At 37.9% G+C, this 14311-nt stretch overlaps 2 protein-coding genes across 5 annotated transcripts in view, besides 1 other annotated feature; one reads left to right on the top strand and one right to left on the bottom strand.

The window, feature by feature from the left end:
- The window catches only part of ACE2 (angiotensin converting enzyme 2), an 89015-nt gene extending 85311 nt beyond the window's left edge, over positions 1-3704 (top strand). The window contains exon 18 of the mRNA NM_001386259.1: positions 2922-3704. Coding sequence (NP_001373188.1) covers positions 2922-2973 — 52 coding nt within the window. The 3' untranslated portion in view covers positions 2974-3704. The remainder of the gene's footprint in view (positions 1-2921) is intronic.
- The window catches only part of BMX (BMX non-receptor tyrosine kinase), a 55713-nt gene that overhangs the window by 34619 nt on the left and 6783 nt on the right, over positions 1-14311 (bottom strand). For all 4 annotated transcript variants that reach the window (NM_203281.3, NM_001320866.2, XM_017029752.3 and 1 more), the window contains exons 2-6: positions 13410-13556; positions 12468-12572; positions 10383-10464; positions 5670-5789; positions 3908-3972 (exon numbers count right to left, since the gene is read on the bottom strand). In NM_203281.3, coding sequence (NP_975010.1) covers positions 3908-3972; positions 5670-5789; positions 10383-10464; positions 12468-12572; positions 13410-13547 — 510 coding nt within the window. In that variant the 5' untranslated portion in view covers positions 13548-13556. The remainder of the gene's footprint in view (positions 1-3907; positions 3973-5669; positions 5790-10382; positions 10465-12467; positions 12573-13409; positions 13557-14311) is intronic.
- Positions 1945-2217: a silencer, noted in NCBI's record as "fragment chrX:15537807-15538079 (GRCh37/hg19 assembly coordinates)". NCBI's record gives its function as "represses an EF-1alpha promoter that drives an FKBP-Casp9 reporter gene in an ReSE screen in HepG2 liver carcinoma cells {active_cell/tissue: HepG2}" and the evidence as "EXISTENCE:reporter gene assay evidence [ECO:0000049][PMID:32094911]".

Here is a 14311-nt window from a genome sequence, read left to right as displayed (position 1 = left end):
AAGGCTGAAAAATGGTCTCCCGAATATGTTCATGTCCTAATTCCCAGAACCTGTGAATACCTTACGTGGTAAAAGAGACTTTGCAGATTGTAATTAAGGATTTCGAGATGGGGCAACTATTCTGGATTTTGTGGGGGTGGGCCTGATGTAATCAAAATGGCCTTTATAAAAGGGAGATAAGGTGGTCAGAGATTAGAGAGCTGTGAGGATGGAAGCAGAGGTTAGAGAGTAGAGGTCCTGCAACCTTCTGGTTCTGCAGACAGGGGAAGGAGCCAGGAACCAATAAATGTAAGTACCCCTTAGGAACTGGAAAATGCAAGGAAACAGAATCTTCCCTAAAGCTTCCAGAGGAAACACAGCTGTGCAGACCCATTTTAGACATATGATCTTCCAAACTATAAGAGAATAAATGTATGTTGCTTTAAGCCACTAAATTTGTGTAGTAATTTGTTAGAACAGTAATAAGAAACCAAAACAGTTGTATATTCACACAACTGAATTCTATACAATGATGACGGTAAATATAATCACATACTAAAAAAATAAGCGAATCTCACAAATTGAAGAAAAGAAGACACACAATAAATGACTACACACTTTATAATTCCAGTCATATAAAAGTCAAAATCAGGCAAACAATCTATGATGTTATAAATCAGGTTAGCAACTACTTTTGGAGGGTAGTAGTGACTGAAAGGGAACATCAGGGTGTCCCTGGGGTTCTGTGATGTTGTGTTTCTTTATCTGAGGGTGGATTATACAGAATTGTTCAGTTTGTGAAAATTCATCAAGCTGAACACTTAGGATTTGTGTGCTTTTCTATGTTAATGTTATATTTCAGTTAAAAATTCACAATATGTGTGTGTGTGTCTGTGTGTGCGTGTGTGACAGAAAGAGATGCATTTAATATTTTTTTCATGCTATATTTTAGTTTTTCAGAAATTTCATTTACTTGGAGTTAAGGCTTTGACATTCTGGAAATTTTAATTATGCAGGACAGTGTTATTTATGAGCTGTGAAGTGGGTTATGTCCAAAGAAAAATGCACTAGGAAGTTCCTTAAATGGAAATCATTTAAGGAAATCTCTTTGAACAGAACAACTAGAGAGCTGATTTTTATTTCCTCCATTCAGAAAATAAGCCCTCTACTGAATACTCTGATAAAAAACAAAACAAAGAAAAACATACTTTACATGATACCCTCTGATCCCTGGTTCATTTGGGAAGCTTATAATCAAAACAGGCTTATGAACCCTTAGCCACTGATTTGCCTAGCTGATAATTTTCAATATATTGGCCAAAAAGTTCCCTGCTGGAGACTAGATGCAATGGTTTCTGGCTCTTAATTATCTTCTGCTCTTAGACTTGTCAAAACAAACTTTATTGGTAGTTCATCCTTTTTAAAGTGCAGAATTCAGTGACTTTTGTAAATTTATCAACTTGTATAACTATCACCACAGCCCAGTCTTCCCATCACTCCAATAAGATCCTTCATACCTATTTGCAGTCAATTCTCATCCCTACTCTGGTCCCAGGCAACCACTGATCACCCTTTGTTTCTATAGATTTGCCTAATCTGGGCGTTTCTCCTAGGTGTTTTAGAGGGCCATACTTTTCAAGCTTCAGGACTGAAACATATTTTCAAACCCAAACAGCAATGTTGCTAATAACAAAGTAAAACTCCTAACGATTATAATTGTTTCCTAGGGCTACCATGACAAATTGCTACAAGTTTGGTGGATTAGAACCACAAAAATTTATTGTTTCACAGTTCTAGAGGCTAGAAGTCAAAATCAACATTTCAGCATTGCCATACTTATTCTGAAGCCTCTAGGATAAAATCTTTCCTTGCCTCTTCCAGCTTCTGGTGGTTCCAAGTTGCTATGGTTTGGATATTCGACCCCTCCAAATTTTATGTTGATGTGTGATCTCCAGTGTTGGAGGTAGAGCTTAATGGGAGGTATTTGGGTCATAGGGGCGAATCCCTCATTAATGGCCTAGTGCCATTCTCATGGTAGTGAATGAGTTCTCACTCTATGATTTCCCATGAGAGCTGGTTGTTGAAAAGAGCCTGCTATCTCCCTTCCCTCTCTCTTGTTTCTTCTCTCTCACCATACAATTTCTGCACACACTAGCTCCCCTTCCCTTCTGCCATGAGTGGAAGCAGCCTAAGGCCCTCATCAGATGCCGATGCCAGTGCTATGCTACTTGTACAGCCTGCAGAACGGTGAGCTAAATAAACCTCTTTTCTTTATCAATTACCCAGCCTCAGGTATTCCTTAGTAGAGCACAAATGGACTAAGAAACAGGTGTTCCTTGGCCTGTGGTAACATAACTCCAATCTCTTCCTAGGTCTTCACATGGCCTTCTCCTCTGTGTATCTCTCTGTGTCCTCTCATCTTACTAGTCATTGGATTTATGGCCCACTCTCATCTTTCGTGTGATTTCATCTTGATCTTTAACTAATTACATCTGCAAAGATCCTAGTTCCAATAAGGTCACATTCTGAGGTTCTACATGGATATGAAATTTGGGGGACATTATTCAGTCTACTACAATAATGGATTATTTTTGTCTTTCATGTTGATTCATGAAAATTATGTGGCTTTTACTTAGAAAGAGAGAAGTGTGTGCGAATGTGTGTAGCTGAAAATAAGTACCCAAGACACCATAGATCCAATAGATGGGCGGAGATGTCCCCTTGCTTTCAGGTGAACTTCCAGAGAACCAATGGGAAGCCATTTTTTGTGTATCCTGGCATTTGAGGAGGCTCACACCTGCCTGGGAACCCTAAAAACAGAAGGCTGTGGCTATGAACCCAAGAGAGTAGAGCAAAAAGACAGCAGTAGCCTGTACTTCGAGAGAGAGCTACATACAGCTTAATTAACCAGAGCAATCAAGGTTTTGTTTGTTTTCTTATAGGCCAACTCCACTCTTGGGAAAAAGTTGGCTGACAGCCATCTTGAAAGATTGAGGGCTGAAAATCCAAGAACTGAGGATCAAGATCTCTCCCCTGTCATAAAACTACATATGGATCTGCCCTTCAGTAGGAAATTCCTAAAAGTCTCCCATGAGATAAAGAATCAGTGCTGGAAAACTCACTCCGATACCACCACCACCAAATCATGATAGAAACAGCTATGTGTGTCTTTTTTTAATTAGACCTCATCTTCCTTGGAACTAACTCTGAAAGGGCCATGAATCTCAGCCCCCCCAAAATCCCTCCCCAAAAGCATGCTGCCAGGTGATGCAGGCCCAAGCTAGGTGACAGATGTTTAACTTGGAATGATGTTTGCAGTCATGTGATAATAACATTGGATGGAACAATTCAGAGGCTGTTCTTATGATTACAAGTAATGGGGACATTTTTATCATTTGAGAATGACTGCAAAACTATGGAATTTGGCAAAGACTTTATTTGGAAGCAGGGAAGAAAGCCCACTGAATAGCTTTGAAGGGATAATGGAGGGAAAGAATTATGTTGTTTTCTGCTTTTGTCCTATAGAGTTTCATTTCAACACCAGGATACTTCCACAAAGCAGTCTTGGCCATGTTGATGGTAAGGAAAGAATGACAGCTAATAACAGCTGCCTGTTATGTGTGATGCCATCTTAAGGACATCTCCCGCATGCACCCATTTTTTCTTTTTTTTTTTTTGGTGACTATTTATGGGCTTACTGGCTAGGAAAAGACACAACAATGAAATGCAAAAATATGAGATATTACAATGGTTCTATATTTGAATCCGCTATTCAATACCACCCATAGCTATTATCTAGAGCTCATGGTTTTTCTCTCTTTGCTGAGAAGTCTAAATGAATTCCACATTTTCTAGTCTTGAATCTGGCAACTCTTGGTTTATTTAATATATCCTGACCATGAAAAACATTTTTAAAATGTTGACTTACCACTCTGTCTGGGAAGGTGGGAACTCTGTGTTTCTCTTCATTGACTGCAGTATGCAGATTAGCATCTGAACATTAAAACAAAGTAATATCAGAAGGAACTTTAAACAAAACAAAGAGAAACACTCAATGTTATGAATTAAAAGAATGAACCAGCTTGTGTGAGCAATACTCCAGATTAAGTGAATCCAGACACAACATCTGGAGTGATTCTGTAGCTTTCCTATATAAGGCCCAACTCCTATGTAGGCCATGTATCCTGGAAAGAGGATGGATCAAGGCATCTTGGACAAAAAGAAATAAAGACACCTAACTTTTTCTCTTTTAGTTGTTATGCCCATGGACTTCCCAGTAGCTCAGCAGAAGAAGCCAAGGGAATAAATTATACTTGGACAGATAGACAGTATTACAGCTGCTCAGGAGCTGCAACACCTCTACACTCTGTAGTTTTCCTCAGAGGCACAGCACCTGTGGCACCCAGAACACATGGTGAGTGTCATCCAGACAGAGCCTAGGAAGGCAATCCCAAGGCAGTGCTCTCTCTGGCCTTTTTCCTGCTCCTTCCAGAAAGTTAGGGCATTGTCAAAGCTGGAATCTGACCTGCTAGGTAATGATAATAGACCAAATAGACCATAGACAAAACCACTGGGGAAAATGATTAATACCATAAGGAGACATTACTCCTCAGTCCCTTACAGTGGAGCGAAGACCCATGTGCAACCAATCTGTATAGTTCATTAAATAACTATAATTCATGAGTATATAGAGCAATGTGATCTAGTTGAGATTAATAAATATTCACTGTATAGTCTAATTAAGATGGAAAACACAATGAATATTTATTAATTGATTTTTTGGGGGTAAAATGACCAGTATTAACATTAACATGATTGTTGGGTATCAATACTGTCATGAAGTGAATTTAAAAAATATTTTATGTGCCTGTATCTTTTCCATTTCATGAAGTTCTATTTTGTAGCTGATCTCATTCAATTCTTTAAAGCCATTGTAATCCAGGCATATTTTGTCCAGGCTGGTAAAACTGTTACCAAAATAAGTTATCCTATTTTGTATTTATCAACAACTTTATGTTAAATAATTATAAACTTTAAATACATATAAGTCCCTCTTGTTTCCCTGGGAGTACAACTCTGGATAGAATCTGATTTCACGTAAAGCAGCCCCTTCTCTCATGTCATTAAGAAATTAACACACATATAGAGAATGGCGAACTGCTTTAAATATATATTTTAAAATTTGACCATCATTTTAGTATACATGGTGATGAAAAGTGTTACTTAAGTTATATCTTTTTTTTTTTTAATAATGTTGTTTTTTCAGTTTGTGATTTTCGTTATTTATACGAAGAGCGAGCTGGTTTTCTTACCAAACTGGAAACCTAGCTGTTTGAACTATGATGACATATCTAACATATTCTACCTTTTTGGAGTTTATCTTGAACCAAGAAAAATTATGGGAGGAAATAACAGCTCATTGCTTGATTAATGATTCAAATTTTTAAAATGTTTCTCATGAAATGAAAGAATGGCAGATGTTAATATTGTTATTATCTTAATGGCCATGACTCAATTGACCCTAGAATGAGATTTCATTTGTCACATAGCATCTGCAAGGCTGAATTTTCATGATGCCAACCAATCTGGCACATCTTGTTTTCTGGCAAGCTCTTCTGGCCTCTGGCAGGTTTAGCCTAATGGAGCACTATCCACCCAACGTCCAGTCCAACAGAGGAATCACACATTACATGCTTCCCAGAGGGTACATCCTGGGGCTGCTTTACAGCTCTGCTGGCAACACAGGAACTTCCCGTCCACGAAGAACCCACTATGGTACTTGACCAGCAGGTGGGGGTTACCCCTTATCTCTGAGGAGCAGACAGGAAGAAAACAAGACGTTAGCAAACGTTGATCCAAGAGGAGAAACATTCAGTAAGTGCTGTTATCACAGAACAATAAAAACCCCATTTGGCCAGCAACCAAGGTAAGAGCAAATGGTTCCGGAAGGATATAGGTCTTTCACTCAACAGTTAATAAGCCAAAAAGAAAAAAGAAAAGTCTAACCATGAGTATGTTGAGAACAACACAATTACATATCATTTTTGAAGAAAAAATAACTAGTAAAATGCATATACAGATCAGCTTGATGTTAGGATTTTAGAGATATATCTGTAAAGAAAGTGAGTGGGTTACAACACATGGTGTTTTCTTGTGGCAGAAGGGGAAGGGTGGGGCTAAATTTTAGCAAAAGGTTCTAAAAAAAAGGCCTGAATAAACATACACTTCCATCTACTTTTTATTGTGAAAATTTTCAAATGTACAGAAAAGTTGCAAGAATAAGATTAATACAATGAGCATCCATATGCCTTTTACCTAGATTCACCAATTATTAACTGATTGCCACATCTGCTGTATCTCTTTCTCTCTGTACATATGTATTATTCTTTAAATTTTAAAATCATTATTATATTGTGCTTAATAATTTATGAGGAAGTAGTAGATGGTATGACCTAAATAATGTCATCCATAAATGCTTCAGCACATAGCTTATATTAACAAGGATGTTCCCTTATATAACTGTAATACGATTATCAAACTCAGGAAATTTAACACTGATACAATATTATTATTATTATTAATTTTTAAAATTTTTTAATTTTTATTTTACTTTAAGTTCTGGGATACATGTGCAGAATGTGCAGGTTTGTTACATAGGGATACATGTGCCATGGTGGTTTGCTGCACCCATCAACCCATCATCTAGGTTTTAAGCCCCCCATGCATTAGGTATCTGTCCTAATGCTCTCCCACCCCTTGCCCCTCATCCCCCAACAGGCCCTGGTGTGTGATGTTCCCCTCCCTGTGTCCATGTGTTCTCATTGTTCAACTGTCACTTATCAGTGAGAACATGCGGTGATTGGTTTTCTGTTCCTGTGTTAGTTTGCTGAGAATGATGGCTTCCAGCTTCATCCATGTCCCTGCAAAGGACATGAACTCATTCTTTTTTATGGCTGCATTTATTATTTAAAATATATTTCATCTTTAAAATTTTTCTAATTATTCCAATAATGGCCTTTATAATCACTCACTTTTTTTCTGATCAAGGATCCAATTCAAAATCAAACATGGCACTTAGTTTCCCTTAATTTAGAACTGCTTCTCATCCCTTCCTTGACTTCTGTGACTTTGACATGTTTATACTAAGGAATGAATGGTTTATGGGGCTACTTTCCTAGGAATATGTGCATATTTTAAAAAGCCACGGGAATAGGGCAATGTATAATTCAAATAAATGAAACTGTAATCTATAACAAATTAGCCTCTTTTGAAATACAACAGAGAAACCTACAAGATCTTAGTATATTTTAAGAAGAGTATCTAGGTGAGAAGGGCTGGTTCTATATGTGCCTTTAACTCTTTCTCTCTTGACCTTATGTTCATCTTGAGATTTCCTTATGTTGATCCCAGGAGAGTTATGCTTATCCTTACAGTCCTGACTCAAGGAAGCGTATGGAGATAATAATTACTTTGCTGGGTCATTGGGAGGCTGTTAGATAATGTATGTAAAGCACCCAGCAGTGTTTGGCCCAGAGTAAGTAGGTGTTCAATAAACAGTGGGCTTTAGTGATATCATTCCCTTAATTTAACTTAGCTCAGTTTAGCTGAAAATGCTGGCATTAAAAAACTTTACTAATGAGAATTAAAGGGAAATTATGACAGAAATCACAAAAGGCAAAAAGAGTTAAAATTATAAAACGTAAGTTTCTGATTTTGGTTCCAAATGGCCATTGCAATCTCTTGGGCACATTACTTGCCTTCCTGCTCTCTAAGCTTCTGGCCTCCACATGTTGGGATTCCTATTATTTCCTTACTACATGGATTTGGTTTCCTGGGTAACTAATTCTTTTTCCAACCAAATCCAAAAGTCTACATTGCAACAGTCTCACCACCTAATAACGACAATAAGAGGAACTCATATATTCATATATCCATAGGACTTTACATTTATGTATTTTCCTTTACATATGTCCTCTAATTTAATCAATTCAAGAACCTGAGGGGTAGCTATTGTTATTACACCTCTCACAGAGTTAGGTAAACTGAAGTGCAGAGAGGTAGTACAATTGCTCAACTTCACAAGCTTAATAAATAGCAGACCTGAGACTCAGCCTCAGGCTTTTTCTACTACATTATGATGTACAGGTGCCAACTCCTCTGCAAAACCCCCTTCTGTTTTAATTTTTGGAAGGAAGAGCACATTTTTTCCACATCTGGTTAGCTGAATTCAGAACCATGATAATTGACACACACTCCTATGCTACCACTGAATCAGCCCAAACCTTCCAAGTGTAGGTTAACATCTGGAAAATTCTATCTTAAATGTCTACCTCAGTTTATAATGCTTGAGCCAAATAATAGACACAAAAGGCAGGAGGAGCCATTATAGCACAATGAAACTTTGTAGGGGAGAATATTTGAGCAGGAGAACCTCTTTGTTTTCCTGCAGCAGGTTGGTTGGCCAACTTGACAGCAAATCCCATGCACCTTCTTTCTCACTATCTTCCAGCACAGAGACTGGAAAAAAAAGATACTGTCTTCTTGCCTCCTTTGTACACATCAATGGCCATCAGATATAGTTCTGGATGATGTGACATAAGCACAAGTTTGCAGGGAGGCTTCTGGGAAGGCTTGGAATCTCTCCTGCAGCTTCTAAGGATAACAGAGCAGAAAGCTAGGAGGAGCCTGCATCCCTACTGACTTCACTGAGTTGCTGCACTAGCCCTTGACTGACTGCCTATCTTTGCATTTGTTACTGTGAGAGAAGAACAAAAGTGGATTTGTTTCAGCAACTGTTTGATGTCTTTTTACCTGCAGCCCAAAACATCACTAACTGATACAAACCACTTACTGTGCATAGAGACAAACCACTTATTGTGCATATGGCAGCTGTAGTGATGGGGACTCTCTGCAGTTTTATGAGGGGCTAGGAGATGTGTTTTTGCTTCTTTCTCTGCTCTTCCTTTACATTTCGTATGTCTTCACATGAGCTGCTCAGACACATGAGATCTAGCAGGGCATGACCAAGAGCTGTACATAGGACATAGCACCTACCGCTCAGGAAATTCCACCAAAGGAGACTAAATGGGAAGCAGAATCTTAGAGCTCCTCCTAGAAGCCCTACAGTAACCACAGTGACTCATGTTTGTGCATAAGATATTTTAATATATTTATGAGTGTCTCATCTGTGGCTCGTGACTGCTCTAGGAGAAAAGAAATGTGATCTCCTATTTGACAGGTCAGGATTAACTTAAACCCAGAGATGGTAGATGATTTTATTAGGTGACACAGCAAAGCAGCACTTTGCTGCAGGTGTGTCTAACTCTAGAGGGGTTGTCTTTCTCATTTCAATGAGCTGGTGGTGGGTAGAGGGAAGCTTCTGTCCCCCAGTGGACCACTTGCTACCCGCAGAATGGGTTGCTAAACCTTTTTATGCAAAGGAAAAATTAAGCCCTATGTGTGAGAAGGGTGTATTTGCATCAAAGTGGAGTAACTGTGTGTAATTTGAGGTGTACTAAGAAAGAACCATAACCTAAAACTTAAGTAAAATAAAATAAAATAAAATAAAATCTTCCTCCATCTAGGAGCATAATACCTGAAATTTCACAAATGGAGCCATTCATTTGAGTTAAATATTGTCTTCACACCTTTACCCATCTTGAAAATATCACAGAGGGAAATACTATAGTGCCAAATCATTAACAATGATTCTCTCCCTTCTACCAAAAGTTGTTACCAGGGCGGCCTAAACATCACTGAATAAAAGCTTCATTAAATCTTCAGTTTTGCCTAGCATTTACAATGTATTGGTTAAAAAATCAGGTTTAGGTAATTGAGTTCTGAGTCCCTCGTTACTGTATCTATGACAGTGGCCATGTTTTAAAAACTTTACTTGTCTGAAAAATGGAGAATAATATTACCCCTTTCAATAGAGTTGTCAAGAGGGTTACCTAAAAAAATGTTTTACAAGCATTTGATAAAGTAGCTGGCAAATGGTAAATGCTCAGTATAAGTATTAGATGTAACTTTCTATAAACATCAAAAGTGTGGTAGCTACAGGACTTGACATAGCCCCATGATGACCTAGACTTTCCCCTGGTAAAGGCAAGCATACTGAGTGGAGAGCAGGTGGCCTGGCTTCCCCTAAGCTGCTGGGAAGGCACAATACTGGCTTTGTGTGGGCCAGGGAATCCAATCCACAGGCTTCCTGTATGTAACAATGAGAAAGCAAAAATGAGGATGAGTCTGACACATTCCCTGAGGTTGGTAGGAAAATCAGTAGATTGTCTCTTGGCATTGAGTCTTTTTACTGCCATGTCTTTCCTCCACCAAGCCTCAAAAAACGACTCTCTTTTATGGCTTTTTTTGACCTTTCTCTTTCAACATTTCTTTTTTTGAATTACCTTTTTGTAATGCTTTCAACCACTGACTTCGGCTCTCTTCATTTGATGCATAGACATAGAGAAGCCCATCTTTATAGACAATCTGGAAAGGAAAATATTTGGTGTGTTTATATATAATTGCACCATACTTCACTTTGGTGCACCTGCAAATTTTTTGTCATCCAAAAGAAACCTTGAGTTTGCTTATACAGTATACATCAGCTCTGGAATTAGATGAAAAAAATTTTCTTAAAAAATCCTCCAGTTATCAATTTGTTTTATCCCAGACACTCCTATACTTTGGAAAATTACAGCGATGATGTACCTCATAGTAGTGGTGAACACTGAGTTCTCATCAGGGACACCCTGGACTATGGACATTAATATGTTAGACATTACACGTGTCTTAGTATTGTTCTGGTCCATTTGCCTACCCAGTGCATGATTTCCTTACAGCCCACTGGAAAATGTTTAACTGCTCTATCTTTAAAAATACCTTCAGGGATGGAATGTTCTTTACTCTGCTATGTCATCTCTGCCAATATCCATATATTCTGATCATTATACAGTTCATACTTACATTGAGTAAAAATATGTTTCCCTGTTACTTTCATCTATTTCATCATGTGGCACCCCAGGAATCTCCAGAATATATACTTTTCTGTTTCTTAAGACAAATGTTTAAACGTTTGAAGATTACAATATCTTCTCCAGATCCTTCTCTAGTTTATTCAACTCTTGTTGGTAAATATACACAGCATTTGTTAAACACTTACTAGTTGCTGGGCTCTTTCCTAGCTACTTCAGTATTTTAATCTTATTTCAACTCTGTGAGAAATAGAAGTTGAGTATGTGTTTACAGTTGCACAAGTATAAGTGGTGGAACTAGGAACTCTCTGGGGGCTCCAAAGCCTGTGATCTTTTGAGCACTATGCCTCTATGAGGTGAGTTTGCAGCATCTTCCATGAGCATGCCCTCCCCTGGTTTCCCCCAATTGGGTAATTTTTTTAATGAAAACAATGTTTATGTAGAGATGAGGTCTCGCTATGTTGCCCAGGCTAGTCTTGAACTCCCAGCCTTAAGTGATCCTCCCTCCTTGGCCTCCCAAAGTGCTGGGATTACAGTCATGAACCACTGTGCCTGGCCTGGTAATATTTTTTCCAAATGGGAAGTATGGGTTGTTAATCAACTGGATTATTGTATTTCATTTTTGGCCACAGGTTCCTAATACTAGCACTGGGTAGTCAGGCCATCTGAAAGACAATCCATCTACCTTTGGATCAGAAATGTAAGATTTTATGCTATAAGAAAAGTAGGGCATGACTTAGATTAGGCCACTTCCAAAAGGTACTACCAGCATACACTACATACCATACCATTGTTTAAAATACTTCAGGGTAAAATGAAAACTCCTTAGCATGGTCACCTCTCCAGGCTATCTCTTTCACTGTCACATGGGCTTCTTTATTCATAGGGACTACTTAGTGCTCTCTAAATGTGTCATACTGTTTCACTCATCAGTGCCTTGACACCTGCTGCTTCCTTTGTACCACTGTCCTTCTCATATTTGCTGGGTTAAATTTTACTTGTCCTTCTCAACTTGAGTGTCACCTCCAATAGAATATCTCTCTAGCCTCTTGGAGTGAGGAATGAAACTTCCACATCCTGGGACTCCATGGATGCATTCTGCTGACCTCCACCTTAACTCTCACCCTCACTGCTTTGTAATGGTCTGTGTATTAGTCTATTTTGCCACTTCCCTGTAAATGCCTTGGGGTAGGGGCAGTGTTTTGTTCCCCATAGTATGCCTACTACTGTGTACCACATCGGAGATACTCAGCAATGTTTGTTAAAAGAGATGATCAGACCTGAGGCAGGTCAGGTCACTGCGACTTACGCTCCTGTCTTGCTTCCCTTCCCTTCCCTCCAGGGAAGGCAGATTGGTGGACAGAATTTTAGCAAAATGCCCAACTCCCATGTGGGAATATTCCAAGCCTTGTTTAGATTATTTTGAAATATCATTATTTTTCCTAGATATATTGAGTTCACGATAGAAAAATTGAAGGAAGAACTATCCACCCAATGCAATGTCGTTCTTCCCTTTACCTGAAATGGGTACTGTCTCTCTACAGGCGTCTGCTCCTCGAGATTTACTTTCTCCACACATCTGATTTTCTTAATTTCAATGGATCCTTTTCTGCTGCCCCTTTTCTGAATTAAAAAACAAAATGTAAGATACTTCCTGCAATACATCATGGTGCACAAGGAAAGGCATAAAGCCCAAGTTATGCCTGAGAGGGAGATTGGGGTGGGGGGTGGGCAATGGAGAGTCACTTCCTATTACCCCGTAATAGTCAAAATCCAATGACAACATAATCTATTCCTTGAGTCTGGACACAAACACATATATTCCAGTGGTTAATAATCTTGTTTGATTATCTTGAAATGTGTTTCAAATCACCTACCATGTGGTTAATATACTCAGGAAAATCAAGATTTAACTTCTGCAAAGCATCTTCATTTTGGCTCAGTCTTATGACAGTATTTCAGTGTTTTTACTATAGTAGAATTCTCAACTGTACAGGAATAGTCTTATTTCTAGCATTGTTTTAAGGCACTATTGCCATTTAAGGCTGGGTAATTCTTTGTTGTGAGGACTGTCCTGTGCACTGCAGGATGGTTAGCTGCATTCTTGGCCTCTACTCACTAGATGTCTTTAACACTTACTGTTCCTATCCCCCAGTTGGAACAACCCAAAATATCTCCAGTCTTTTCCCAATGTCACCTGGGGAGCAAAAATGCCCTCAGTTGAGAACCACTGTTCTAAAGTTATAATTTGCCTTAGTAAAGTTAACTAATGTTTTAAAATCCTTTATCTTGAATTCATTATACTTTCATTAAGAAAAGGTCATGTGATAAGTGGATAGAAGAGGATCTTCACAGTGTAAGTTAAGAAACCTGATATTCTTTCATTATGATCAAGTACTTTGTGGAGACTTAGGAAAAATAATAAATAGTATAAAAATAATGGAACACATGATGTCTCACCATTTTGTCATATTCATAGTAGGAAAGGTTTGTTTTGGTCAAAACAAAAAGCCGTTCTTTGTAATTATTTGGTGACATTTTCTTCTTTTGCTGTGATCTTTTGAGAAGAAGTTCTTCTAGAATAGATTTTGTATCCATATTATCATCCTAAACAAAATAAATAATTAAAATGAGTATTTGCAGCATCTAGGTAAGTTCTCTTTAACCTTCATATCTTTTCCTCAACGATTTCCTATTAAGGGATAATATAAATGCTGATTTTAATAAATGAGACTGATGTAGGATTATAGAATAAATTACACAATAGCTACAGTTTTTCTGCTGCCTTTGCTTTGGGTTTTATAAATATGTTGATTTTTAAAAAGCACTTTATACTTTTGACTCCTCCCACTGTGGATAATAAATTCATCATCTTTGCCCCATTCTCCAGACCACCTTATCAAAATGCTCCTTACTTTTTAAACATTCTATATGTGTTGGTTGAATTGAATTGGATATAATAAAACTTCAGAAAATTTAACTCCAGACAGCTCACAATTTATGAAGTAACGGCCTGTAATTTGACCAAATTACCCAAACCACTATGAGACACTGACATTATTGTAAATAACACCTGCAGCCCCTGATCATGGCCAGATCTTTAACATAAATTACACAGGTATAATTTTCAATATCTATGAGAATTTAAAATCAAAGTAAATGCCTAAGATAAGATAAAATGAGGAAAATGTATGAGGGTGCACTAACAGATGCTATCAAAAGAGATTTAAAAGAACTGAAAAAATGAGTACATTTACAAAGTAAAAAGACTCTTCCTTTTTATCCCAAAATCATGTAAAACATTAAAACTTAAGGTATTTCTGAAAAATAAATGCATTAATTTTCTAATTCTACTAAGACAG

This window comes from Homo sapiens, chromosome X, assembly GCF_000001405.40.
Source record: "Homo sapiens chromosome X, GRCh38.p14 Primary Assembly".
NCBI classification, from domain to species: Eukaryota; Metazoa; Chordata; class Mammalia; order Primates; family Hominidae; genus Homo; species Homo sapiens.
This window is presented reverse-complemented; position numbering and strand designations above follow the sequence as displayed.